Raw genomic sequence first — 22683 nt, 5'->3', positions numbered from 1 at the left:
TGTTGGTCAGGCTGGTCTCAAACTCCTGACCTCAGGTCATCTGCCCGCCTCGGCCTCCCAAAATGCTGGGATTACCGGCGTGACCCACCGTACCTGGCCCTAACTGTCCTTTTATTTGTCTGTGTCCCCTAGTGCATTTTATTTGTCTGTGTCCAGCGCAGGGATGCATCGCCTCCCGTAGGCTTGGCACAATTAGTGGCCCAGAGTAGGTGCCTAGTAAAGATGGATTTATGCCACAGCACATTGTAGTGCTAAAAAGAGGGTTTTCTCTTTAGATGATCGGGCCACGTTTTGGTGTGACCACTAGGGGGAGACGTGGCACCGGCGAAGCGCTCGCCAGACCCATTTTTTCGCTCCTTGCGTCATCGCATAGGGCGGGGCTCGTACCTGACGCCCGGCTTCTGGGCCTGCTCTCGCCCTACTAGGGAAAGGGGTGGGGCTTGGCTTTCGGGCGTGGGCGGAAATTGCCGAGAATCCTCGGAAGCTTTGCGAAAACACAGCGCGCCGTCGGCCGCGCTGCGAACCGGAAGTAATCGAAGAAGCCCCGGAAGTTTCGAACTACCACCGGCGTGCGTTCGCAGGTAGATCGCGGTGCCAGTTGCCATGGAGCCGGCCGGGCCCTGTGGCTTCTGCCCGGCGGGGGAGGTCCAGCCAGCGCGTTACACCTGCCCTCGCTGTAATGCGCCCTACTGCTCGCTGCGCTGCTACCGGACGCATGGCACCTGCGCAGAAAACTTCTACCGTGACCAGGTGCTGGGAGAGCTCCGCGGTTGCAGCGCTCCTCCCAGCCGCCTAGCAAGCGCCCTACGCCGGCTGCGTCAGCAACGCGAGACCGAGGACGAGCCTGGGGAAGCAGGCCTCAGCTCCGGCCCGGCGCCCGGCGGCCTATCGGGACTCTGGGAGCGGCTGGCGCCGGGCGAAAAAGCTGCCTTCGAGCGGCTGCTGAGCCGCGGTGAGGCCGGGCGGCTGCTGCCTCCATGGCGGCCGTGGTGGTGGAACCGCGGAGCCGGACCGCAGCTTCTGGAGGAGCTGGATAATGCCCCGGGTAGTGACGCCGCGGAGCTGGAGCTCGCCCCTGCGAGGACCCCGCCGGATTCTGTGAAAGATGCCTCCGCCGCGGAGCCCGCGGCCGCCGAGCGGGTTCTTGGAGATGTCCCGGGGGCCTGCACGCCCGTCGTACCCACCCGCATCCCCGCGATAGTCAGCCTGAGCCGCGGCCCAGTCTCGCCGCTCGTGCGCTTCCAGCTGCCCAATGTGCTGTTCGCCTACGCGCATACTCTCGCCCTGTATCACGGCGGTGACGACGCGCTGCTCTCTGACTTCTGTGCCACACTGCTCGGCGTTTCCGGAGCCCTGGGTGCCCAGCAAGTCTTCGCCTCTGCGGAAGAAGCCCTGCAGGCGGCAGCCCACGTGCTGGAAGCAGGCGAGCACCCGCCGGGGCCCCTGGGCACACGAGGGGCTATGCACGAGGTCGCCCGCATCCTGCTGGGCGAGGGCCCGACCAACCAGAAAGGCTACACGCTGGCAGCACTGGGGGACCTGGCACAGACCCTGGGCCGTGCCCGGAAACAGGCCGTGGCTAGAGAAGAGCGAGATCATCTTTACCGGGCCCGGAAAAAGTGCCAGTTCCTCCTGGCCTGGACCAACGAAAATGAGGCGGCCCTCACACCCCTGGCCCTAGACTGCGCCAGGGCTCACCAAGCCCATGCTGTGGTAGCCGAGGAGGTGGCCGCCCTCACTGGGGAGCTGGAGCGGCTTTGGGGAGGCCCCGTGCCACCTGCCCCAAGAACTCTCATTGAGGAGCTCCCTAGCTGAACGGGTTACCCTGGTCATTAATAAAGCTGTGACTGGTCAGCCCTGTTGCTTGTTTCTGAGGGATAGCTATTGTCCCACCAGACCCCAGATTCCTGGGCCCACAAGCCACTGCTCAGCTTCTCCCTGATCAGTGCTGACCCAGCCAGTCCTAGGGGAGAGAAGTGCACCAAGGGTTCCCAGTGTTTATCCAAAGGAGGAAGAGCATCTCCGATTTTGGTCACTGGTTTCATTTTTTTCCTTGCTCTAAACCACCTCTTCTCTGAGGTTGTTCATCCTCAGGGCTGGGTGGGGTGCAAGCCCTTGAGTCCCAAGTGTGTCGAGGCTCCTGGTCCTGGGTGTGCTGGTGGATGAGTGGGCACATGCCCCCACCTGGGGTGGTGGAGCCGCTTCAGTAGATGTAGGGCATGATGCGGTAAGGCACACGCCGGCAGTACTCCTGCCAGGCCAGGCCGTACTTCTGCAGGCACTGCCGCTCATCCCGGGCCTCACGGTGCACCAGCAGCGCGGTGAAGTAGAGGAGGTAGAAGTAGGGCAGCAGGTGTGACACCCCTGTAGAGAAGGAGGCTCTGTGACCACCCTGCCGGCCCCTCCACCCCGCAGTTCACAAACGTTTCCACACCTCATGGCTCATGTGGGCATCGGGGCTCAGCAGCAAAAGCGCCAGGGTCTGCAGCAAAGCACACGGTACTAGGTTGGCACAGAGGTGTGCCCCAGCCACACACTGGGTCCACCCCCAGCTCTCTGACTACTCTCACTGGTGCATACCCAAAGTAGGCATCCTGTGGTCGCTGAGCCACCTCTTCCCCTCACATGTCCCTACCCATATCCACATGGGCCACTCACCGCAGGGCAAGGACCAAGCCAGAGCCATGATGAGGTCTCCAAGATAGTTGGGATGGCGGACCATACCCCACCACCCAGACACCAGCAGTTTCCGCCCTGTGGCTGTAGAGATGGTCTCAAGCCCTGGGGAAAGACAGCAGGGTGGAGAGTTCCCAGGAAGCCCAGCTGCCCCACCTCACCCATGGCCCTAGAGAACCAGCTCACCAGCCACTCTGGGGTCAGAAGGATTCTTTCGGAAAGTGTTTTTCTGGGAATTCGCCCCACGGAAGATGTAGTAACCAGTAGCTGGTGAGAGAGTGTGAACCGGTGGTCAAGGTCAAGGGTTGCAGCCTCCTGCCTGACCCCGAACATCTGCCCAACTTGTCTGCAGCCCAGACTCTGCCTGGACCCCCAGGACCCTGCCCTGGCTTTAGAGAACCCTGGGGGTTAGCACCTATGTGGTGGTGCGTGTAAACAGAGCATGAATCAAAGGGATAGGGGGAAGATGGGCCCAGCCTGCTGCCCCTTCCTGACTGACCATTGATGAGGCAGATGACAGAGGCCATGGGCAACCCCAGGGGCTGCGGGTGGTGCAGCAGGAACTGGGCCTGCAGGCTGTAGGTGAAGGGCACCCAGGCCATGTCCCCAAACGCCAGCATGAAGCCAAACCCGTCATGTGTGATATCCATGGTGGTGAGGACGGCCTCCTGCAGGGACAAGACCCAGACACACTGGCTTAGTCCCTATGCGGCCCTCAGACACCCACCCTCGTCCAGTCCAGCCTCACCTCGTGCCAGAGGGCATCACCCACGTAGAGCAACTGGAAGCCATTGACCAGCCACATGGCCAGTGAGGGACTGCCTCGAAGCTCTGCCTCCTTCATCAACAGGGCCAGGTTGATGAGGACCTGGGGAGAGGGAACAAGGCAATAGTCTCCACAGAAGTGGCAGCCTTGGGCAGAGCAGTGGCCAGCCTCTGCCCTTCTCAACTGTCAGTTACACTCCAGCTCTTAAGTGGATCCAGGCCCTAGACCCAAGGACAGAGACTGTGGACAGGGAGGTGCCCGCAGCCTGTTTCTTCTTGCCTTGTCTGTCCTAAGCCCTTTCGGGCTAAGGCTTCAGTGCTCAAACAGACCTGTTTTCAGATCTCAGCATCATCACTTGGGCAGGTTGCTTGCCCTCTCCACAGCCTACTTTCCCCCACCCCTGTGTGAAAAATGGGGATAATCATGGGCCTGTCATGACTCAATGGCATCATCGTGTTTGAAGCCCTCCATAGCGTCCCTGGCAAGTGGTACGTGCTCAGTGTGGCTAGCCGGAGCAAGCCTGTGCTGGGCGCCTGCATTTGACACTGAGCTCTGTTCTATCATAAAGATTACCTCTTCTAATCTTCCCAGTAATCTTAGGAGAAAGCTTTAATTTTATCACATCTCAAAGATGAGGAAGTGTCCTCAGATGTGCCTGTCATCAGGCCAGGACCCAGACCCAGGGTGGGCACCTGGCACTCCTGCCTCGGGTAAGATAATTTCCAGGGCAACAGGAGAGGCCTTGCCCAAGAGTTTCTTTGGGTAATCTTGGCCACAGAACCAGAGATCACAGTTGGAATGTTGTCAAGGCCACTAGTGACGGGTAGGTTGCTAACCCCAGCGATCAATTTCAGGTTCTGCACTGCCTTGACCATCAAGCAGCATGCGGTCACTCCCTGGAAATAGATTCTGTGCTTGACTGCTGTTGAGAATTGCACGTGCTCTCCTAACGTCATCCCTGACATGCTGTATATATTTTACTTATTTTTTTCTGTCTTTCCCACCAGAATGTAGGCTCTCTGCAGCAAAGATGCTTTTTTGCCTCTAACTTTATTTTTGTCTCCCAGTACCTAGGCACAGGTGGATTGAACAAATGTTTGTGGAATATGAATGGTTAATGACTCGCATCTGCACAGTTTTGGCCCTGCCCTGCCCAAGCGCTGCTCACCCACCCTAACCCTCCCCCTGGCCTGAGGCCAGCTCAGTCAAGCCCAACATACCCAGCCGATGAGGCCGGGTCGCAGTTCACAGAAATATTTGAAGTCGAAGAAACAGATACGAGGGTTGAGCTCTCGTCCCAGAAAAAAGTCGTAAATCGGATTGCCTGGAGAATATTGGAGAGTGAATGTACAGGCAGACGCCCCAATCTGCCTCCGTCTCCACCCCAGGACCCCTCTCACCTGAGTTCCCCCCAGGTGCCAGGGCCGAAACTGGGGCTACCTGCGCCTTCATGTAGAGAAAGAGGCTGAAGATGAAAGCGGTGAGGGTGGCGACAAACGCCAAGGGCAGGAGCATTTCCGGGAGCGCCCCCAGAGGCAGCCCCGCTGACATCCCCAGCCCCACCAACAGGGCTGTCAGCACCAGGGCCTGGAAGCCTGAACCACAGCGCACAGTGAGCCCTGGGGCTGCGCGCCTCCACATCCCCACCCCGCAAACACACGCAGAGCCCAAAACTCAGGGGGGCCACAGACCCTGCCCCAAGCATTAGGCTGCCACCCTGGCCTTCAGAGGATCACCCCAGCCACTGCTGTGGTGCACGGAGTAGCAGTAAATGGGGTAAGGCTGTGGGGACGAGGGGCATAGGGAGAGCCCCCGGCGTCTGTCCTGGGCGTAACAGAGGCACACAAAGGAGCCTGGGGTGGGGGCCAATCTCCGTGGACCTCCCCGCTAGGCCTGGAGCTCCACCCCCGGCCGCTTAACTCCAGCGCGAGGGCCCGTCCCCTAGGCACCGTTAATAGGATAGCGCAGGCGACTCTTGTCCTTCAATTCCTGCCCCTCGGCCACCTGCGGGTCCAAGGGGGCTCTGATAAGGCCCGGGGCGTCCTTTCCCTCGCCGAGCCCATTCGCTTCCCTCCCCCGAGCGTCCGCGAGCGGGGCCCGCACCTTGCGCGCCGGCAGTAGGTAGAGCGCCGCCTGCAGGCCGAGCCAGGCGAGCCACAGCAGCAGCGCCCGTGGGCTCCACAGCACCTCCAGCCCCGGCAGGGACGCGGGTGGACCCAGCAGGCGCGCGGGGCCCGAACGGGCCGCCAGGAGCAGGTGGAACATGGTGGCGGGCAGCAGCAGTAGCAGAGCCGCGGCGCCTGCGGGAAGGGCCATCACGTCGGGCGTCCGCCCCTAGCCCCCCAGCTCCCCGCCGGCCCGCACGGGCGCCCTGACGTCTCTGCGGGACCCTCTCGGCATTCCCAGAGTGCGCCTCCGCACCCCGTCCTCAGCCCTCGGCCCCCAGGCACCCCGCTGCCTCCCAGTTCCCTTCCCAGGCGTCCATCTTAGTCCCCCGCCCCCAGGCCCCTCGAAGACCCTCCTCCTGCTCCCAGTCGACACCATAAATCCCCGTTCTGCAGCCCCCAGAACCGGCCCCTCCTCAGCTCTCCCTCTCCAGACACCCTTCGCTGCAAACCCCCGGGTCCCTCTGCCTCCGACACCCCCAAAGCCTTCCATCCTCAGATCTCGCCCCCGCTCTTAGTTCACCCGCTCCAGCTCTCCTTCGCTTAGCCTTTGCCCCAGGTCCCATCTCTCTGCCCCATTACCCAGGGGCCCTCCGAATTCCAGCGGGGCCCGGGGGCCCTGAGTGGGGGCCATGGTCTCCGCTCCGCCGGAGAGAGAGGGCGCTCACAATAGTCAGTCAAGGAAACACTGTCCGCCCCATTTCCCAGGAGATGGACTCGGCCGCGCGGAGGATCCGGCCCCGCGGCGCCTGCACCTGCCTGGACACGGAACGCAGACAAGGACCGCTCTCGTCCCAGGGTTTTTAAGTGGAACCGCCCCCTGCCCATGCTGGGCCCAGCACACCAGCCAATCGGCGCTCGGGGGCGGACCCGACGCGGGCGCCTCAGAAGCCTCAGCTTCAAAACCCCGCCCCCGGAAAGGCCCGCCCAGCAAGCGAGAGGAGGAGGCCACACATGTTTATTAGGCCGGTCCTGACACCTGCCTGCGGGGAAGGACCACCGAGACCAGATCCTGGGTGCCATGGGGTGCAGGGACAGACCGGTGCATGGCAGCGGCTGCGCCTAGCCGCGCTCGCAGATGACCTCAACCACACTGGGCTCCATGGGCACAGGGTCTGGGCAGCGCAGGGCAGCAGAGGCCACCACTTCGTCCAGCAGCAAGTGCACGAGTTCTTCGTCGGCCACAAAACGCCACAGGTAGAGCTGCAGAAAGTGGCAGTCCACTTGCACCTGCTGCAGCCCGAAGCGCCCAAAGGTGCGCAGCCGCACACACTCCAGCAGCGTCTTCAGGCTGATCTTGATGATGCCGGTCAGCACCGACACCTGCAGGCAGGGACACAGGGATGCAGCTTGGGGACTGCAGGTGTGTGTGGGGGACACCCAAGTTCCAAGCAGGGGCCCGGGAGACATACGATGGAAGTAGCTGGGATGAGGCAGAAAGTCTCCGGGGCCAGATAAGAAGGGAGGGATACAATATTAGCGCCGTCATCTGGAGGGCAGGGGACAGGTAGGGCCCAGCAATCAGAGGCATCCCTGAGCTTGGAGTGAGGCGGGGCAGGGACCATGGGTGAACAGAAAACCCTGGGGAGGACCCAAGACTACTGTGGGGATAAGGACAAGGGCAAACAGTAATCCCAGGTCAGCACCCAGACTCAGGCTGGGCATACACCAAGACTGGGACAAGGGCTGTGGGATTTGGAGGCAGGGCACTCTGTACTACCTAAAAACAGCCCTAGAGACAGAGACTGGAGGGTCAGGGTCACCCCCAGTTGGTCACAGAGTCCTGGGGCTCCTTGGGCAGGTGTGGGGCTGCTCCAGCCAACCCTCCCCGGGATCCCTGGAAGTCTGAGTCACGTTGGAAGTCGGACCTTGTTGAACTCCACAGGGCTGAACACATCAATACGTTCAGAGAATAGCTTCTGGATATTGCTCAAGAGGTTGGTGTCCATCGGGGCACTGGATTGGGGAAGACAAGGAATCAGAGCCCGCCCTGCACCCTCGCCCTCTTTTGTCCCTTCCCCCTGGGGCTCCCCTGACCAGCCAGACCTGGGGGTATAGCTGGGGGCGTAGCGGCCCTGCTGCCGAGAGCTGCTGTACACGGAGAAAGTCCTCTTGCTGGAGTCGCTGCTCTGGGCCTTGCGAACACCCTCTTCGTACAGGAGCCCCACCTGGTGGTAAAAAGAGGTACTGCAAGGAGGCCCGAGTCAGGGGAAACCACCAGCCCATCGGTGCTGAGGATGCCCTAAGTCAGCTACTCAAGCATCACAAGGATCACAGGGTAATCACCGCGGGGCCCGCTATTTAGTAGGTACATGGTCGCTATTTATAGAACCAGTGGAGTGGGGCAAAGGCAGGATACAAGAGTTGGTCTGAGGTCTAATCTTCAGCACCAGCACCAACCCTGCCCTGACTTCCTGGGTAACCCTGAGCCTCTGCTTCTCCACAGGTAAAATAGGGGCGAAGATGTCATAATCCTGGGCTGAGAAGGAACAAGACCGTGGACATAGGCACTCCCCAGCCCGTTTGGTCTTCATCCTTGGAGACTTGTTCCCCTGGGGTTCCCTCACGGACGCCCTGGCTACAGAACTGGCCCCGTGAGAAGCCCAGATACACATGTCCCCTCCTCCAGGCAGGGACTGCCAGTGATCCTCTGCTGCCCCAGCCCCTCTTGAAGGGACAGTACCCCCAGCCTGCGTCAGGGCTACCCCGGCCAGCCTGGGCAGCACCTGCACGTCGATGGCGGTGGTATCCTCCACCACCCGCTTCATGACGGCCCGCACATTCCGGGGCTCCAGAGTGCTGAGCCAGTCGCGAGTCTCCACGCTCTTGCGCAGCATCTGTGATATGACCAGGCCCTGCACCTTCACGTAGTGGGTCAGCAGCCGCCGCGCCGTTTCCCTGGCCTCTGCACACAGCGTGCTCACGGGCGTCACTGGGAACTGATCCTGAGCCAAGGAGGCAGAGGACAGAGGGAGTGGGTATGGTGGGGGCAGCTCAGGGGCCACTGCCAACCAGGAGCTGGGCACAGATTGGGCAAGGTGGAGGCTGGGGTACACACAGGCAGCTGGTCTGGGGTCTGGCCATGAGGGCACTGTCCAGCCATCTGCATTCCCAGCAACACCATTCCCTGCCCGGCTAGGAGCTAGTGCTTCACCTGCACCAGAAACTGTTCATCAGTGAGAGTGAGGATGTAGGAGATGGTGGCCGTCTCGTAGTCCAGGCAGAGGCGGGAGAGCAGCAGGAGCAGGGCAGGTGGTGTGGCACCCCCCTTCTCCCCAGGGCTGTCGCAGAAGCTCTGAGCCGTCTGGCACATAGAGTGGACGAAGCCCACGATGAGGCCCTCACGGACACCCTGACTGCAGAACTCACCCTGCAAGAGAAGGTGCCCAGGTCCACAGCAGGTCCCCTCTTCCAGGTAAGGCTGTTAATGACCCTCTGCTGGGGCTCTAAGTGCCCCAGCCCCCTCTGCAAGGGACAGCATCATCCTACATTCTAAGTACCCCGGAGCAGCTTCCCTGAGTGGGGGCAGAGAAAGCCAACACTGGGGACCCCACCATGCCCTGCTTCTCAGCCCAGCTGCAGATGCCCTGAGCCTTCCCCACCCCCCAGACCGTGCATAAGAACCTGAAACCACACCCAGAGTGCCTGGTTTCCCCAGTTTCCCAAGCACTGGCATAAAAGGTTTTGGAGGGTCAACCAGCAGGTTGAACAAGGAACACCCAAGAGGAGGCGTACCCGGAAGTAGGGCTTGTTGGAGAAGGACACCTCTTTGGCGGTGAAAAGGTGCACTGCTGCCAGAGAGGCCTTAATGTGGCTCAGGATGGAGCTGGCCACATTGGCCAGCAACTCGGCCAGGCCAGGGCCCTCCTTCCCAGCCACGCGAGGTGCTGCCAGCGCCTGGCGGACGTCTGTCAGGCAGCCCAGGAAGGCCGCCCGGAGACCCTGCAGGTGGTGGCCCAGGCGCTCGCGGGCCACTCGTTCCACGATCTCCGTGGCAGCGTCTGCGAGCCCGGCAGCGGCCAGCAGGGCCCCGGGAGCCCGCAAGCGCCGGTGGAAGCGGTCCAGCGCCCGCACCAGCAGTGAGTTGTCACCACCACCCTGCTCCTGCGCCAGCCGCCGCTCCACCAGCGCAAAATAGCGGCTGCCCAGCTGCCGGGCGAAGGCCGCCAGCTTCTCGGCACCTGCTGGGCCCTGGGCCGCAAACAGCTCCTGGTAGGCCGCCGCCACCTGGCAGAGGCCGCCCACGAAGCCACTGCCTCCATGGTCGGTGAACTCTAACACGTCGGGAGCCGGAGGTGAGGGCCCCAGCTCGGCCTCCAGGTTTCTCAGCTCCTTCTCCAGCCGGCCGCGGGCGTGCGCCAGGAACTCCTCGCACAGCTCCTCCGCAGGCTCGCCCAGGGCCAGCAGCAGCTCCACGCACTCTGCCTGCTCCGGGGCGCCTGAGCCGCCCTCCCTGCACGAGGGAGAGGTAGTGAAGGGCAGGGCCGGGGCTGCCGGTGGATGGGGCAGGAGCAGGAAAGCAAAGCACACACAGGGCAGGGGGACAGCTCCAGGAGGGCCCAGGAGCCGGGCACAGATGGGGCTCGGGGCTGGCGGGAGCGCTGGGGTCAGGGCAGAGGGGCCACACCTAAAGCGCTGCCGCAGCTGCTGGGCCAGGCGGGCCGTGATGACCTGGCAGTCGTCCTGGATGGCGCGGAACGAGGGCAGGTGTTGGTACTGCTGCAGCACGGCCTGCGCGCGGCCCTGGTAGCGCACCGCCTGCCCATAGGCGCCCAGTTCCACGCACTTGGTGAGGCGCGAGGGCAGCTCAAAGAGGAACTGCAGCTTCCGCAGCAGCGCGTGGACCCCTGGGGGACGGAGGGTGACGTTAGCCCCAGAGCCCCAGGAAAGGCCCACTGCAGGCCCTGCCCGGCAGCGCCCACCTGCCAGCTTGGTGATGCGCTCGTGGCGGTCCTGCAGCGTGGCGCTGATGCGAGCGCTGAAGTCGGTGATCACTGCCATGTTGGTGGCCAGCCGGTCCATCTCATCCTCCATCTTCCGGAAATCGTTCTTCATCTTCCGGATGGTGTCTAGGAGGGCAGGGGCGGGGAAAAGGGGAGAGCAGGTGACTGCAGGGCGGGCGCAACCTCAGCTCCTTCTCACCCACCCCTTCACAGACGCCCCAGCTTGCTCCAGGGGCGCATGGATGATTCCAGAGAAAGGACTGCGAGGGCGTGGGTCACAGCGCACATGGGGGCGGGGGAGGGGGTTTATGTTCCCAAAGCAGGCGTTACTCACATACTCCCCGTAACCCCCTAACCCTGGTGCCCAGGAGAGCCGGCCCTCAGAATTAGTCCAGATCCGAAGCAGGCCGCAGGTGCTTAGCCAGCTGCCACCACTGTGCCTCAACTGCTCCATCAGACCACAAGCAGCCAAGGCAGGGACCGCTGGCTCCCAAGCGCATCTGCGTGTCCAGCGCACTGCCTGGATGAGGCAATACATTCTTGTTGACCCTCATCTCCTTTCCAGACCTCCCAAAGCCTTTCACATGCTTTCCGGAACATGGGCTGTCTTCTCTGAAGGGCCCTTTCCCTTTGGTCCTGATAGAATCCTGCCTAGGGAGGCTGTTTTTCCTTTCACACACCAGGTGCCTGGGAGCCTGGTCCCTTCATGCTTCTAAATCATGCCTAGATCTCCTCTCTTCAAAACCCCGGCTTCTAGGAAGACCATGCCATCAAGCCACAACCCTCCTCTTTGCTGTCTCTACTGTCCTCTGACACTCCTCTCAGTTCCCCATCACTGCCTCTTCTCCTCCTCCTGTCACCTCCTTGTGCACATCCACATGGATGAGCCTTCCAATGTTCCTGACTGTTCACTGACGGCCTCAATTCAATTCCACCTATTCTTTTTTTTTTTTTTTGAGACTGAGTCTCGCTCTGTCGCCCAGACTGGAGTGCAGTGGCACGACCTCTGCTCACTGCAAACTCCAATTCCCAGGTTCACACCATTCTCCTGCCTCAGCCTCCCAAGTAGCTGGGACTACAGGTGCCTGCCACCACACCCAGCTAATTTTTTGTATTTTTAGTAGAGATGGAGTTTCACCATGTTAGCCAGGATGGTCTTGATCTCCTGACCTCATGATCCGCCCACCTTGGCCTCCCAAAGTGCTGGGATTACAGGCATGAGCCACCGCACCCGACGAGGTCTGATGGTTTTATAAGGGGCTCTCCCTGCTTCGCTTAACACTTCTCCTTCCTGCTGCCTTGTGAAGAAGATGCCTTGCTTCTCTTTCACCTTCTGCCATGATTGTAAGTTTCCTGAGGCCTCCCCAGCCATGCTGTGAACTGTGAGTCAATTAAACCTCTTTCCTTTATAAGTTACCTAGTCTCGGGCAGTTCTTTACAGCAGTATGAACCTGGATTAATATACCTAGTAATCAATCCATTACCAAGTCATGGAAGGTCTACCTGCAACATTTTCTTTGTAAGCCACTATCATCTCTTGTCCAACAACTGCCAACATTTCCCAACTAATTTCCCTAATTCCATTGAACATACCAACAATGTTCATAAAGAAAGGCGAAGAGGATAAGACAGAAATGTGTATCTGTAACAGGAGATATTTTGGTTTTGTTTTGTTTGAGAAAGAGTCTCACTCTGTCACCCAGGCTGGAGTGCAGTGGCGCGATCTCAGCTCTGGAGGCTCCTGGAGGGTGGCACGCCCGGGGAGGGCATGGAAACTCCATGCTCCTTCTCCTACACCTCGCCCTATGCACCTGCTCATCTGTACCCTTTGTAACATCCTTTGTAATAAACTGGTAAATGTGTTATCCTGAGCTCTGTGAGCCACTCCAGCAAACTGAGCCCAAAGAGGGAGTTATGGAAACCCCTACCTGGAGCCAGTTGGTCAGAAATTCTGGAGGCCTGAGGCCCTGACCTGCAGCTAGTGCCTGAAAGTGGGGAGGCAGATTTGGGACTGAACTAGTGCCTGAAGGGAGGCAGGCTTGGGGACTCAGCCCTCAACTCATGGAATCTGATGCTATCTCTGGGTAAATAGTGTTGGAATTAAATCAGAGGACACCCAGCGGGTGTCTGCTGCTTGGTGTGTGGGGAAGAAACCCAACACATTTGGTCACAGAACTCTTCTGTGGTCATGATTGTGGTGATGTGAGAGCATAGGAAGCACACAGTTTGCATTTTTCCCAAACAATGCCATAAAATATATACAAACCTTTCCATATGGTAGATCACAAAGAAAAAAACCTCATTCTTTTTTTTTTTTTGAGACAGGGTCTCCCTCCGTCGCCCAGGCTGCAGTGCAGTGGCGCGATCTCAGCTCACTGCAACCTCCACCTCCTGGGTTCAAGCGATTCTCCTGCCTCAGCCCCGAGTAGCTGGGATTACAGGCACGTGCCACCATGCCTGGCTAATTTTTGTACTTTTAGTAGAGAGGGTTTCACCATGTTGGCCAGACTGGTCTCTGACCTCAAGTGATCCACCCGCCTCGGCCTCCCAAAGTGCTGGGATTACAGGCGGGAGCCACCGTGCCCAGTCGAAAAAACCTCATTGTTAACCAATTATGAGGTCAGAAAAGGAAATCAAAACTGAAATTGCAGCATGGGTAAAATACCAAGAAAACACTAAATTGGTAAGGGCTTGGTGAATTCTATGGATGAAATGGATAATTTGCTACAAAAATAGGATTTACCAAAATGGATTGCAAAAAACAAGAAAACAGAAACAGAAAAACTAGAGAATGTTGTGAAAGAAAGGTCCTACTCCCCTTTCCCCTCCACACAAAGGCATCTGGCCCAGATGTCCAGGGGTGTTGCGGCGGCTTGAAGGACAGCGCCTTCCAATTCTCTGTGTAAACACTGCCCCAGCAGAGAAACGAGAACAGCTCTCACACAAACTTGATGGAACAAACATAACACTGTTATGAAAACATAACAGAAATACCTCACATATACACATTCATATCTCTTATGAATGGAGATGCAAGGATGAATTAAATAAACAAATGGAGATGCACAAATAAGCAAACAAAATCCAGCAGCATATTAAAATAATAATTGATAAACACAAAAGGGTTTTTGTTTCATGAATGCCAGGATGACTCAAAATTAGAGGATCTCATAATAATTTGCCATGTTAATAGATATTTCAACATCTATTCTTGATTTTTAAAAAACTCTCAATAACATATGAGCAGCTAAATATTTCCCTGACCTCCAAAACTCAGTATCATGTTTACCGAGGCAGTGCTAGAAGCACTCCAATTAAAGTCAAAACATGGCAAGGACAACCTTGATTGCCAATGTTATCTACATTGTTCTGGGGCATTAGCCAACTCAGCTAGAGTCACGAGATGTATTATGGAGATACACAAATTGGAAAGGAGGGAGAAGTATCACTATTTGCAGATGATATAATCAAATAAATAGGCCAGCCACGGTAGCTCATGCCTGTAATCCCAGCACTTTGGGAGGCCGAGGCAGGCAGATCACTTGACGTCAGGAGTTTGAGACCAGCCTGGCCAACATGGTAAAACCCTGTCTCTAGTAAAAATACAAAAAGTAGTTGGGCGTGGTGGCAGGTGCCTGTAATCCTAGCTACTGGGAAGGCTGAGGCAGGAGAATCGCTTGAACCCTGGAGGCACAAGTTGTAGTGAGCTGAGATTGTGCCACTGCACTCTAACCTGAGTAATAGAGCAACACTCTGTCTCAAATAATAATAATTGAATAAATAGAAAGCCCTAAAAAAAAAAAACAAAAAAAAACACCCTGTAAACGTTACTATAAACAATAAGAGATACCACTTTTCACTTCTCAGATTGTCAAAGATTGAAAGAGGTATTCTCTTCTTTGCTGGTGGTTATGCAAACTGATCAGCATTTACAAAGAAGAATCTGGAAATATCTAACTGCAATCACTTGTGAGCCTTCACACACCCACACCTGGTCTGTGTGTGGCTCTGGGACTGTAGGAATGTTCTCCAAGCAACACTGGGAATCTACCCCACTTGGGGAGACAGCTGGAAGGGTGAGTAAGGAGAAAAGCATTGATGTCAATTTGACAAGAAACAAACAGAAACAAAAAATGCAGGAAAAAAATATTAGAGAAAATATAAGAGAAAGAACTGTCTGAGACAAAGAATCTACAGGGCTCACATCTGTAGAGCTATTAAGGGATTTTTTAAAAAATTACATGGAAAGGTAGATTACGTATCAGCAAAATGGACTTTTCATTTTAACAACACAGTCCACAAGAAAGGATCATTTAGCCCTCTTAGAGATGATTTCATAGAAAGGAAGGTTACTAAGGAATAAAATCACATGATGTGAAACATCTATATTACTTTTGGGACCATAGGGACCATTGCCTGCATTTTGTTGGGGAAATCATAATTATTTTGAGTTTCTTTGCTTGAGATAGGGTCTTGCTCTGTCTACAGGCATGGTGATGCACACTTATAATCCCAGCTACTCAGGAGGCTAAGGCAGGAGAATCACCTTAACTGGGGAGGCGGAGGTTACAGTGAGCCAAGATGGCATGCAGTGGTGCAAACACAGCTTACTGCAGCCTTGAACTCTGGGGCTCAAGTGATCCTCCTACCTTAGCTTCTGAAGTAGCTGGGACTACACACAAGCGCCATCACACCCGGCTAATTTTTTAATTTTTGTTTAAATTTTGTGTAGAGATGGGGTCTCTCTATGTTGCCCAGGCTGGTCTCAAACTTCTGGGCTCAAGCAATGCTCCCACTTCAGCCTCCCAAAGTGCTGGGAGCACAGGAGTGAGCCACTGTGCCTGGCAAGAAAATTTTTCTTGCCAATTCATAGATGGTGAACTAAAGGACATAGCAAAGGCAGCGCTATGCAGTGAAAAACAATAAAAGCAGAGCCGAGGCTGAGGTTCGTAAAGGGATCATGGGCTACTGATCTAAGGGAGACAGACAGAGGCTTGGCAGTTGATGAGGCATTTGGTCTTCACCCAGTGAATTACTGGTTTTGTTTACAGGCCATGTGACACAATCTCCTTCCAGGTCTGCCAAAAGCTACCATGAAAAGAGCAGACTCTTTTGGTAGTGGGTGTTTGAGCCCATGACACTTAGGGGCTACCTCAAGAAGGAAGCTTGAATCCAACTTCTAAAGGGTAAAATCCAAACACTAAGTTGTTAGGAAAATAGAGTAAAAGAAAACCCAACAGTGCTGTGTGCTGTCATTGTCGCTGCCTTCCCAGCCATGGAGCCATTACACTGGAGATAAAAGTTGTACCATATCCAAAAACAACAGTGAAAGCATCCACACCATTCAGTCACAAAGACTACACTGTTTATCTTTGCATTTCAAGCTTGTTAAGAAAAGCAGGCTGGGCACAGTGGCTCACGCCTGTAACCCCAGCACTTTGGGAGGCCAAGGCAGGTGGATCACCTGAGGTCACCTGCCTGACCAACATGGTGAAATCCCGTCTCTACTGAAAATACAATAATTAGCCAAGTGTGGTGGCAGGTGCCTGTAATCCCAGGTACTTGGAAGCCTAAGACAGGAGAATCACTTGAACCCCGGAGGCGGAGGTTGCAGTGAGCCGATTGGGCCACTGCACTCTAGCCTGGATGACAGAGCAAGACTCTGTCTCAAAAAAAAAAAAAAAAAAAAGCTTGTTAAGAAAAGCAGTTTGTAACCAGGGAGAGTGAAAGCCATCTGGATGCGAGGATGTTGGCTACCTTGGGAGGGGACTGGGTGGTAACTGGTAGGAGGCTCAGGGGGCTTTGCTGGTTATGCTGTTTCCCGACCTGGATGCTGATTATGTGACTGTGCTCCCTTTGTGAAATCCATGGAGCTGTCCACTTATGTGCACTTTTCTGTATGTCTGTTAATTTTCTTTTTTTTTTTTTTTTTTTTTTTTTTTTTGAGACAAGGTCTGGCTCTGTCACCCAGGCTGGAGTGCAGTGACACAATCTTGGCTTACTGCAACCTCTGCCTCCCAGGTACAAGCCTTCCACCTCAGCTTCCTGAGCAGCTCGGACTACAGGGACACAACACCACACCCAGCTAATTTTTGTATTTTTTGTAGAGACAGGTATAACCTGTTGGCCAGGATGGTCTCGAACTCCTGAGCTCAAGCAATCTGCCTGCCTCTGCCTCACAAAGTGTTGGGATTATAGGTATGAGCCATAATCCCACCTGGGCTCTGTTAATTTTCAGTGAAATGTACTGTCAAAGACTGCTTTGTCTTTGCCTAGAGAAAAGAATTAGGAGAGGCTTTTCCCTGTATAATGTTTGAGATCTTTCTAATTTTGACACAAGTAAATGCATTATTACATAATGAAACTCAATGTCTAGGTGAGAGGTTGGCAAACTACAGCCTGCAGGCCAAATCTGGCTCAATGCCTGGTTTTCTTTTTAATTGGGATATAATTGACATACCAATTCAGTGGTTTTTAATATGTTTAATATATTCACAAGGTTGTACAACCAACCTCACTACGTAATTCCAGAACATTTCATCATCCCCTAAAGAAACCCTGTAACCCTTGGCAGTCATTCCTTATTCCCCCACTCCTAGAACTTGGCAACCATTAATCTAGTTTCTGTCTCTATGGATTTGTCTATTCGCTACAGAATACATTTAACAGAAATGGAATCATAGGCATATGAAACATTAGCATGTTTCCAAGGTTAATCTATGTTGTAGCCTGTGTCAGTATGTTATATCTATTTTTATGGCTGAATAATATTCCACTGTGTGGATATTTGTTTATATTCATTCAATTGATGGCCATTTGGATTGCTTCCACCTTGTGGCTATTATAAAAAGTGCTGCTATTGGCCAGGCATGGTGGCTCTTGCCTGTAATCCCAGTACTTTGGGAAGCCGAGGCAAGCGGATCACTTGAGGTCAGGAGTTCAAGACCAGCCTGGCCAACAAGGTGGAATCCCGTCTCTAGTAAATATACAAAAAATAAAAATAAAAAAATTAGGCGGGTGTGATGGTGCACACCTATAATCCCAGCTACTCAGGAGGCTGAGGCAGGAGAATCGCTTGAACTGGGGAGGCGGAGGTTACAGTGAGCCAAGATGGCACCACTGCACTCTAGCCTGGGTGACAGAGCTAGACTCCATCTCAAAAAAAAAAAAAAAAAAAAAAACACTGCTATGAACACTTGTGTACATGTTTTTATGTGAACATGTTTTCAATTCTCTTTGGTATATTCCTAGGAGTAAAATTGCCGATCATATGGTAATCTTGTGTGTGGTTTTGAAGAATGGTCAAACTGTCTTCCACACTGGGTGCAGCATTTTGTGGTTTGGATTTGCATTTCCCTAAGACCTAATGATGCTGAGCATATTTATATGTGCTTTTCGGCCACTTGTATGTTTTCTCTGGAGAAGTGTCTATTCAAATCCTTTGCCCATTTTAAATTAGGGTTATTTGTCTTTTTAGCCCTGAGCTAAAAAACGTTCTTTTTATGTTCTGAACACTAGATTTTTATTAGATAACTAACTTGCAAATATTTTCTCCCATTCTGTGGGCTGTCCTTTTATTATTATTTATTATTATTATTATTTTTGAGACGGAGTCTCGCTCTGTTGCCCAGGCTGGAGTGCAGTGGCGCGATCTCGACTCACTGCAACCTCCGCCTCCTGGGTTCAAGCGATTCTCCTGCCTCAGCCTCCTGAGTAGCTGGGACTACAGATGCCTGCCACCATGCCTGACTAATTTTTGTATTTTTAGTAGAGATGGGGTTTCACCATATTGGCCAGCCTGGTCTCAAATGCCTGACCTCAGATGATCCACCCGTCTCGGCCTCTCAGAGTGCTAAGATTATAGGCATAAGCCACCGCACCTGGCCTTTTTATTTATTTATTTATTTTTTGAGACTAGGTCTTGCTCTGTCACCCAGGCTAGAGTGCAATGGTGAGATTATAGCTCACTGCAATCTCCAGCTCCTGGGCTCATGTGATCCACCCACCTTAGCCTCCCCAAGTAGCTGGGTTTATTCTAACAAGTGTGTGCCACCATACCCAGCTATTTTTTTTTTTCTAGATATCGGGTCTCACTATGTTGCACAGGCTGGTCTCAAACTCCTGGGCTCAAGTGATCCTCCCACCTCAGCCTTCCAAAGTGCAGGGATTACAGGCATGAGCCACTGTGCTCAGCCCCATCCATTCCTGCCAGTGCAGCTGGAGGAATCTATTCAAACCAGAAATCTGAGCACATCACTCATTTGTTTTAGCTCTCTGTGGATAAAAGCCAAATCCCTAATACATTCTGGAAGGTTTCTAGTTAAACTGCACATCTACTATCTGCCTGGCTCTGCCCACATTCTGCTTCCCCTCCTGCTACCATAGATGAGCTCCCGGCCCTTTGCTGAGGCCGATGCCTCCATCCCTGCTCTGTTCCACCCCCCTCCTTCCTGAGGACCTAGTTCCTTTCTCATTTTTCTCTCTCTCTTGCCCAATCAACACACACTCCATGCTACATTACTTTCCTGAGTGTCTCGCCCAAGTCTATCAAATCTATGTCTTGAAACACCTTCCTCACGCAACCTCCACCTCCTGGGTTCAAGCAATTCTCCTGCCTCAGCCTCATGAGTAGCTTGGACTACAGGCATGCACCACCTTGCCCAGCTAATTTTTGTATTTTTAGTAGAGACAGGGTTTCACCATGTTGGCCAGGCTGGTCTTGAACTCCTAGCCTCAAGTGATCCACCCACCTCAGCCTCCCAAAGTGCTGGGATCACGGGTGAGAACCCCATGCCCGGCCCCTCACTTAAGCTTCTAAGACATCAATGCTCCTGGTTATCCTCACACTTTTCCAAACGTTTGTTCCTTTTGTGGGATGTACAAAAAGAGCTAAGTCTCAAAATATTATTATACACATTCCAACAAATGGAAAATGTAATCTTATTAAATTCCTGTGAGAAATATCCCAGCACAGAAACTATGATTTCTTGCCATTTTGATGCTGGTATTAGCTAACAGAAAGGTGCCTACTCATGGAATCTGCTTCAAATCAGATAAAAGAACAATGTGTATAGGTTACCACACCCACCACTGTGACACGAGAGTAAGACATCAGAATGCAACCCCACAGATGCTCCCAGAACATTCCACAGGCTGCAGGTAAACCCTTTGGATCTGGCTCCTGGACTTACTACACGTGGGTGTACAATTACTACAAAAGTCTGAGTAGTACATCTCCTCAAAACAGCACAGAAGCTAGTGTGGAAAACAGTGGAACACTGTCTGGCACTAGAGAATAAAGAGGACAGAAGAAAAAAAAAGCCTCGACATGATCTTTGTGTCCCCTAATATCATACATCTTCTCTCTTTGCTTAGTTAAGGAGGGAAGGAAGGGAGAAAGAAAGGGAGGGACAAGACCACCTATTCTTCCCTGGAGCAGAAAAGAAAGCTATCAATAATAAGAGAAACTACACCTTACTGAGGTTTCCTTGATGTCAGGGATTCTTCTTCTTATTATTTTTTTTTTCAGACAGAGTCTTGCTCTGCTGCCTAGGCTGGAGTGCAGTGACGTGATCTTGGCTCACCGCAGCCTCCACCTCCCAGGTTCAAGTGATTCTCCCACTCAGCCTCCTGAGTAGCTGGGATTACAGGTGCCTGCCACCACACCCAGCTAATTTTTTTATTTTTAGTAGAGATGGGGTTTCACCATATTGGCCAGGCTGGTCTCGAACTCCTGACCTCAGGTGATCCACCTGCCTCGGCCTCCCAAAGTGCTGGGATTACAGGCATGAGCCACTGTGCCCAGCCTAGTGTCTGGGATGCTTCTTCAGATAGATACTTTCTTTTTTTTGAGACAGGGTCTTGCTCTGTTGCCCAAGTTGAAGTGAAGTGGTACAAGCACAGCTCACTGCAGCCTCGACCTCCCAGGCTCATGTGATCCTCCCTCCTCAGTCTCCTGAGTAGCTGGGACTACAGGCATACGCCATCTTGTCCAGCTAATTTTTATTTTTTATTTTTTTGTAGAGATGGAGTCCCACTATATTTCCCAGGTCAATCTTAAACTCTTAGGCTCAAGTGATCCTCCCACTTCAGCCTCCCAAAGTGCTGGGATTACAGGCATGAGCCACCATGCCTGGCCTTTTAAGTGCTTCAGATAAATACATTTCATTTTAAAATTTCATTTTGGGCTGGGCCAGGGACTCACACCCGTAATCCCAGTGCTTTGGTAGGATCCAGAAGGATCACATGAGCCTGGGATGTCGAGGCTGCAGTGAGCCATGATCATGCTACTGCCCTCCAGCCTGGGAGACAGAACAAGACATTGTCTCTAAAAAATAAACAACTAATCTCCTTTTGTCTTTTCTCTCCTTTGGTACTTAAGACAACCCTCTGAGAGTAGCTATTATCTCTATAGTAGTCTGACAACGAAGGCTCAAAGGAAAGGAGGTGAGAATGGAATAATGTCAGGACAAGACTGGAATCTGAGTCTCCCCCCTCTAAATCCCTTGCTGGTTTTCCCAACACAGGTGGGAGAATGGGGGCTGTGAGACTTTGGAGGGTGTGTCCCCGTGGGGATCACCTGTGGCTGAGATGAACTTGTTGTAGTTCTCATAGACCAGGGTCTGCATGTCGCTGTCTAGAGCCCGGATCTGCCGCACCATGTCCGTCTCACTGTCCATCAACTGGGCCAGAGGGCACTCTCTACGCAGCTGAAGAAGTTGGGTGGTTAGTGTTCGGGTCAGGAGGCATTCATGTCCCCCAGCCTTGCCTGCAGCTGATAGGCTTTCAGGGCAAGAAATCTCTGATCCCCACCCACCCCGCAAACCCCCGCCGGCTGTCAGGAATCCCAGGCAGGGGGCCCTAAGTGGCCTAGCTCAGGGGTTACTAGGTTCAACCGTGTTTGGTGTTTGTCAGCATTTGAAATCCTGGGGCTCGGCCTAAGCCCAGCCCCGCGCCTGTCAACGCTTGGGCCACGCCCCCAATTCCGGGCCTATCACATCAGCCCAGAAGACCTCAGATGCCGCATCACCTCAGGCCAGTCCAGTCCTACTCACATCCCCTCAGACGCCTCAGCTGCTCGTACTCCCTGGCCGAGGTTCGTCCTCTTATGAACACCTGCTCTCCTGAACCTCACAAAAAGTCGGAGGCATGATCTGGGGGAGCAATATAGCAGGGGCCTGGTTCCCTTCCCCCCTCCCCGCACCCCCCCACTCCCCGTGCGCACACACCTTGTCTAGGTAAACTTCCGGGTCGAAGTGCGCCCCGTTCAGATCAGTCGGGTCCAGGGGGTCGGGCCCCGCGGGGCGTCCCGCCGCCTCCCCTTCCGAGAGGCCGTAGTAAAGCTTCAGCATCCCGTGCGCCTTCCGCCGACGCTCCGGAGCCTCCCCCTCGGGCCCTTCTGGGGAGTCCCCAGGTCCAGACCCCGGGCTAGGCCCGGCGGCAGCTGCCGCCGCCATCGTTCCAACTGCAGCCCACGGGCGTGAGGCTGGAAAGGAAGGGGACGGGGAGGAGGCACTTCCGGGAGCCATAAAGTTGTTGTTGAAACGAGGCAGTCCTTCAGGTGAAACGTCCCCCTGCAGCCCTAGGTCCTTCGAGACTAGAGTTCCCCCGCACCTGTCTTCCCCGGGTGCAAAGGTTCCGGGAGAGCCCTGAATTCCCCCAGTTTCCTGGGTGGAAGCATTTTGTGGAACTGCCTGGGGTTGCTGCTGTCCCAGAAGGGGGACGGGTAGTGGCTCCCCAACCTGCACTCTCGCAGGCAAGGGGCCCACGGAATATGTGCCCAGATGCAATGGACGGATGCGGGACGTGAGGCCAGAGTAGAGTGTTCCTGGGATCCTGCCACTGGCAGTGGCTCAGTTTATCCCATTCCTAAAATTGGGGTACATACTTCACAGGGGGGCTACGAGGATTAAATGCATGTACACTATTCTGTACCACGCCTCTAGCGCAGTTCTTCTTAGGGCCTGGTCCTCTGACGTGCATCAGAATTGCCTTCAGGACTATCTGTGGCGCATTGTAAGTCTCTGCGCTGAGCTGCGCCGGGCACTCCCGTAATCCCAGCACTGGGGAGGTCGAGGCGGGTGGATCGCTTGAGCCCAGGAGTTCGAGACCAGCCTGGGCAAAATGGCGAAAC

At 54.5% G+C, this 22683-nt stretch overlaps 3 protein-coding genes across 6 annotated transcripts, besides 15 other annotated features; 1 reads left to right on the top strand and 2 right to left on the bottom strand.

The window, feature by feature from the left end:
• Positions 306-600: an enhancer, noted in NCBI's record as "tiled region #3974; HepG2 Activating DNase unmatched - State 1:Tss, and K562 Activating DNase matched - State 1:Tss". NCBI's record gives its function as "activates a minimal TATA promoter and a strong SV40 promoter by Sharpr-MPRA in HepG2 and K562 cells {active_cell/tissue: HepG2 | K562}" and the evidence as "EXISTENCE:reporter gene assay evidence [ECO:0000049][PMID:27701403]".
• ZNHIT2 (zinc finger HIT-type containing 2) lies at positions 556-1854 on the top strand. The gene has a single exon (NM_014205.4). It carries the CDS (start codon positions 604-606, stop codon positions 1813-1815), a length of 1212 nt encoding a protein of 403 aa, NP_055020.1. The 5' UTR covers positions 556-603; the 3' UTR covers positions 1816-1854.
• Positions 593-1136: an enhancer, noted in NCBI's record as "H3K27ac-H3K4me1 hESC enhancer chr11:64884593-64885136 (GRCh37/hg19 assembly coordinates)". NCBI's record gives its function as "activates a minimal SCP1, AML or CMV promoter by ChIP-STARR-seq in naive H9 embryonic stem cells {active_cell/tissue: H9 hESC(naive)}" and the evidence as "EXISTENCE:reporter gene assay evidence [ECO:0000049][PMID:30033119]".
• Positions 1683-2227: an enhancer, noted in NCBI's record as "H3K27ac-H3K4me1 hESC enhancer chr11:64883502-64884046 (GRCh37/hg19 assembly coordinates)". NCBI's record gives its function as "activates a minimal SCP1, AML or CMV promoter by ChIP-STARR-seq in primed H9 embryonic stem cells {active_cell/tissue: H9 hESC(primed)}" and the evidence as "EXISTENCE:reporter gene assay evidence [ECO:0000049][PMID:30033119]".
• TM7SF2 (transmembrane 7 superfamily member 2) lies at positions 2027-6385 on the bottom strand. 3 transcript variants are annotated; one of them, NM_003273.6, is made up of 10 exons: positions 6190-6385; positions 5546-5742; positions 5392-5446; positions 4843-5037; positions 4663-4766; positions 3425-3544; positions 3176-3344; positions 2863-2943; positions 2659-2781; positions 2027-2364 (listed from the first exon to the last, which is right to left on the bottom strand). In NM_003273.6, the coding sequence occupies exons 1-10, from the start codon at positions 6239-6241 to the stop codon at positions 2204-2206; spliced, it is 1257 nt and encodes a 418-aa protein (NP_003264.2). In that variant the 5' UTR covers positions 6242-6385; the 3' UTR covers positions 2027-2203. The 3 variants fall into 3 exon arrangements, 2 of the variants coding, with proteins under 2 accessions (NP_003264.2, NP_001264162.1); NR_102367.2 differs by lacking the exon at positions 5392-5446; NM_001277233.2 differs by lacking the exon at positions 2863-2943.
• Positions 2228-2773: an enhancer, noted in NCBI's record as "H3K27ac-H3K4me1 hESC enhancer chr11:64882956-64883501 (GRCh37/hg19 assembly coordinates)". NCBI's record gives its function as "activates a minimal SCP1, AML or CMV promoter by ChIP-STARR-seq in primed H9 embryonic stem cells {active_cell/tissue: H9 hESC(primed)}" and the evidence as "EXISTENCE:reporter gene assay evidence [ECO:0000049][PMID:30033119]".
• Positions 5574-6003: a silencer, noted in NCBI's record as "silent region_3509". NCBI's record gives its function as "represses an Ori minimal core promoter by ATAC-STARR-seq in GM12878 lymphoblastoid cells {active_cell/tissue: GM12878}" and the evidence as "EXISTENCE:reporter gene assay evidence [ECO:0000049][PMID:35858748]".
• Positions 6134-6183: an enhancer, noted in NCBI's record as "active region_4942". NCBI's record gives its function as "activates an Ori minimal core promoter by ATAC-STARR-seq in GM12878 lymphoblastoid cells {active_cell/tissue: GM12878}" and the evidence as "EXISTENCE:reporter gene assay evidence [ECO:0000049][PMID:35858748]".
• Positions 6254-6363: an enhancer, noted in NCBI's record as "active region_4941". NCBI's record gives its function as "activates an Ori minimal core promoter by ATAC-STARR-seq in GM12878 lymphoblastoid cells {active_cell/tissue: GM12878}" and the evidence as "EXISTENCE:reporter gene assay evidence [ECO:0000049][PMID:35858748]".
• Positions 6254-7202: a biological region, named in NCBI's record as "H3K27ac-H3K4me1 hESC enhancer GRCh37_chr11:64878527-64879452".
• Positions 6277-7202: an enhancer, noted in NCBI's record as "H3K27ac-H3K4me1 hESC enhancer chr11:64878527-64879452 (GRCh37/hg19 assembly coordinates)". NCBI's record gives its function as "activates a minimal SCP1, AML or CMV promoter by ChIP-STARR-seq in primed H9 embryonic stem cells {active_cell/tissue: H9 hESC(primed)}" and the evidence as "EXISTENCE:reporter gene assay evidence [ECO:0000049][PMID:30033119]".
• Positions 6286-6580: an enhancer, noted in NCBI's record as "tiled region #11972; HepG2 Activating DNase unmatched - State 1:Tss". NCBI's record gives its function as "activates a minimal TATA promoter and a strong SV40 promoter by Sharpr-MPRA in HepG2 cells {active_cell/tissue: HepG2}" and the evidence as "EXISTENCE:reporter gene assay evidence [ECO:0000049][PMID:27701403]".
• On the bottom strand, positions 6395-22043 carry VPS51 (VPS51 subunit of GARP complex). 2 transcript variants are annotated; one of them, NR_073519.2, is made up of 10 exons: positions 21779-22043; positions 21130-21259; positions 10530-10676; positions 10233-10454; positions 9343-10060; positions 8762-8977; positions 8334-8552; positions 7654-7775; positions 7476-7563; positions 6395-6930 (listed from the first exon to the last, which is right to left on the bottom strand). NR_073519.2 is itself a non-coding variant. In NM_013265.4 (10 exons), exons 1-10 carry the CDS (start codon positions 22004-22006, stop codon positions 6670-6672), a joined length of 2349 nt encoding a protein of 782 aa, NP_037397.2. In that variant the 5' UTR covers positions 22007-22043; the 3' UTR covers positions 6395-6669. The 2 variants fall into 2 exon arrangements, 1 of the variants encoding a protein (NP_037397.2); NM_013265.4 differs by having other exon boundaries at positions 10235-10454.
• Positions 7203-8130: an enhancer, noted in NCBI's record as "H3K27ac-H3K4me1 hESC enhancer chr11:64877599-64878526 (GRCh37/hg19 assembly coordinates)". NCBI's record gives its function as "activates a minimal SCP1, AML or CMV promoter by ChIP-STARR-seq in primed H9 embryonic stem cells {active_cell/tissue: H9 hESC(primed)}" and the evidence as "EXISTENCE:reporter gene assay evidence [ECO:0000049][PMID:30033119]".
• Positions 7269-7444: a silencer, noted in NCBI's record as "fragment chr11:64878285-64878460 (GRCh37/hg19 assembly coordinates)". NCBI's record gives its function as "represses an EF-1alpha promoter that drives an FKBP-Casp9 reporter gene in an ReSE screen in HepG2 liver carcinoma cells {active_cell/tissue: HepG2}" and the evidence as "EXISTENCE:reporter gene assay evidence [ECO:0000049][PMID:32094911]".
• Positions 15726-16020: a silencer, noted in NCBI's record as "tiled region #6888; HepG2 Repressive non-DNase unmatched - State 15:Elon". NCBI's record gives its function as "represses a minimal TATA promoter and a strong SV40 promoter by Sharpr-MPRA in HepG2 cells {active_cell/tissue: HepG2}" and the evidence as "EXISTENCE:reporter gene assay evidence [ECO:0000049][PMID:27701403]".
• Positions 21444-22238: an enhancer, noted in NCBI's record as "H3K27ac-H3K4me1 hESC enhancer chr11:64863491-64864285 (GRCh37/hg19 assembly coordinates)". NCBI's record gives its function as "activates a minimal SCP1, AML or CMV promoter by ChIP-STARR-seq in primed H9 embryonic stem cells {active_cell/tissue: H9 hESC(primed)}" and the evidence as "EXISTENCE:reporter gene assay evidence [ECO:0000049][PMID:30033119]".
• Positions 21735-22004: a silencer, noted in NCBI's record as "silent region_3508". NCBI's record gives its function as "represses an Ori minimal core promoter by ATAC-STARR-seq in GM12878 lymphoblastoid cells {active_cell/tissue: GM12878}" and the evidence as "EXISTENCE:reporter gene assay evidence [ECO:0000049][PMID:35858748]".

This window comes from Homo sapiens, chromosome 11 (assembly GCF_000001405.40).
Source record: "Homo sapiens chromosome 11, GRCh38.p14 Primary Assembly".
Taxonomy (NCBI): domain Eukaryota; kingdom Metazoa; phylum Chordata; class Mammalia; order Primates; family Hominidae; genus Homo; species Homo sapiens.
This window is presented reverse-complemented; position numbering and strand designations above follow the sequence as displayed.

Coding starts and splice junctions, on each gene's coding strand:
- ZNHIT2 (NM_014205.4), top strand. CDS start 604: ATGGAGCCGGCCGGGCCCTGTGGCTTCTGCCCGGCGGGGGAGGTCCAG.
- TM7SF2 (NM_003273.6), bottom strand. CDS start 6,241: ATGGCCCCCACTCAGGGCCCCCGGGCCCCGCTGGAATTCGGAGGGCCC. Junction 5,038..5,391: donor CCTGCGCTATCCTATTAACG/GTGCCTAGGGGA, acceptor GCTGTGGTTCAG/GCTTCCAGGCCCTGGTGCTG. Junction 3,545..4,662: donor GACCCGGCCTCATCGGCTGG/GTATGTTGGGCT, acceptor CCCTCTCCCCAG/GTCCTCATCAACCTGGCCCT.
- VPS51 (NM_013265.4), bottom strand. CDS start 22,006: ATGGCGGCGGCAGCTGCCGCCGGGCCTAGCCCGGGGTCTGGACCTGGG. Junction 10,677..21,129: donor CAAGTTCATCTCAGCCACAG/GTGATCCCCACG, acceptor CTGCCCTCCTAG/ACACCATCCGGAAGATGAAG. Junction 10,455..10,529: donor GCGCATCACCAAGCTGGCAG/GTGGGCGCTGCC, acceptor TCCGTCCCCCAG/GGGTCCACGCGCTGCTGCGG.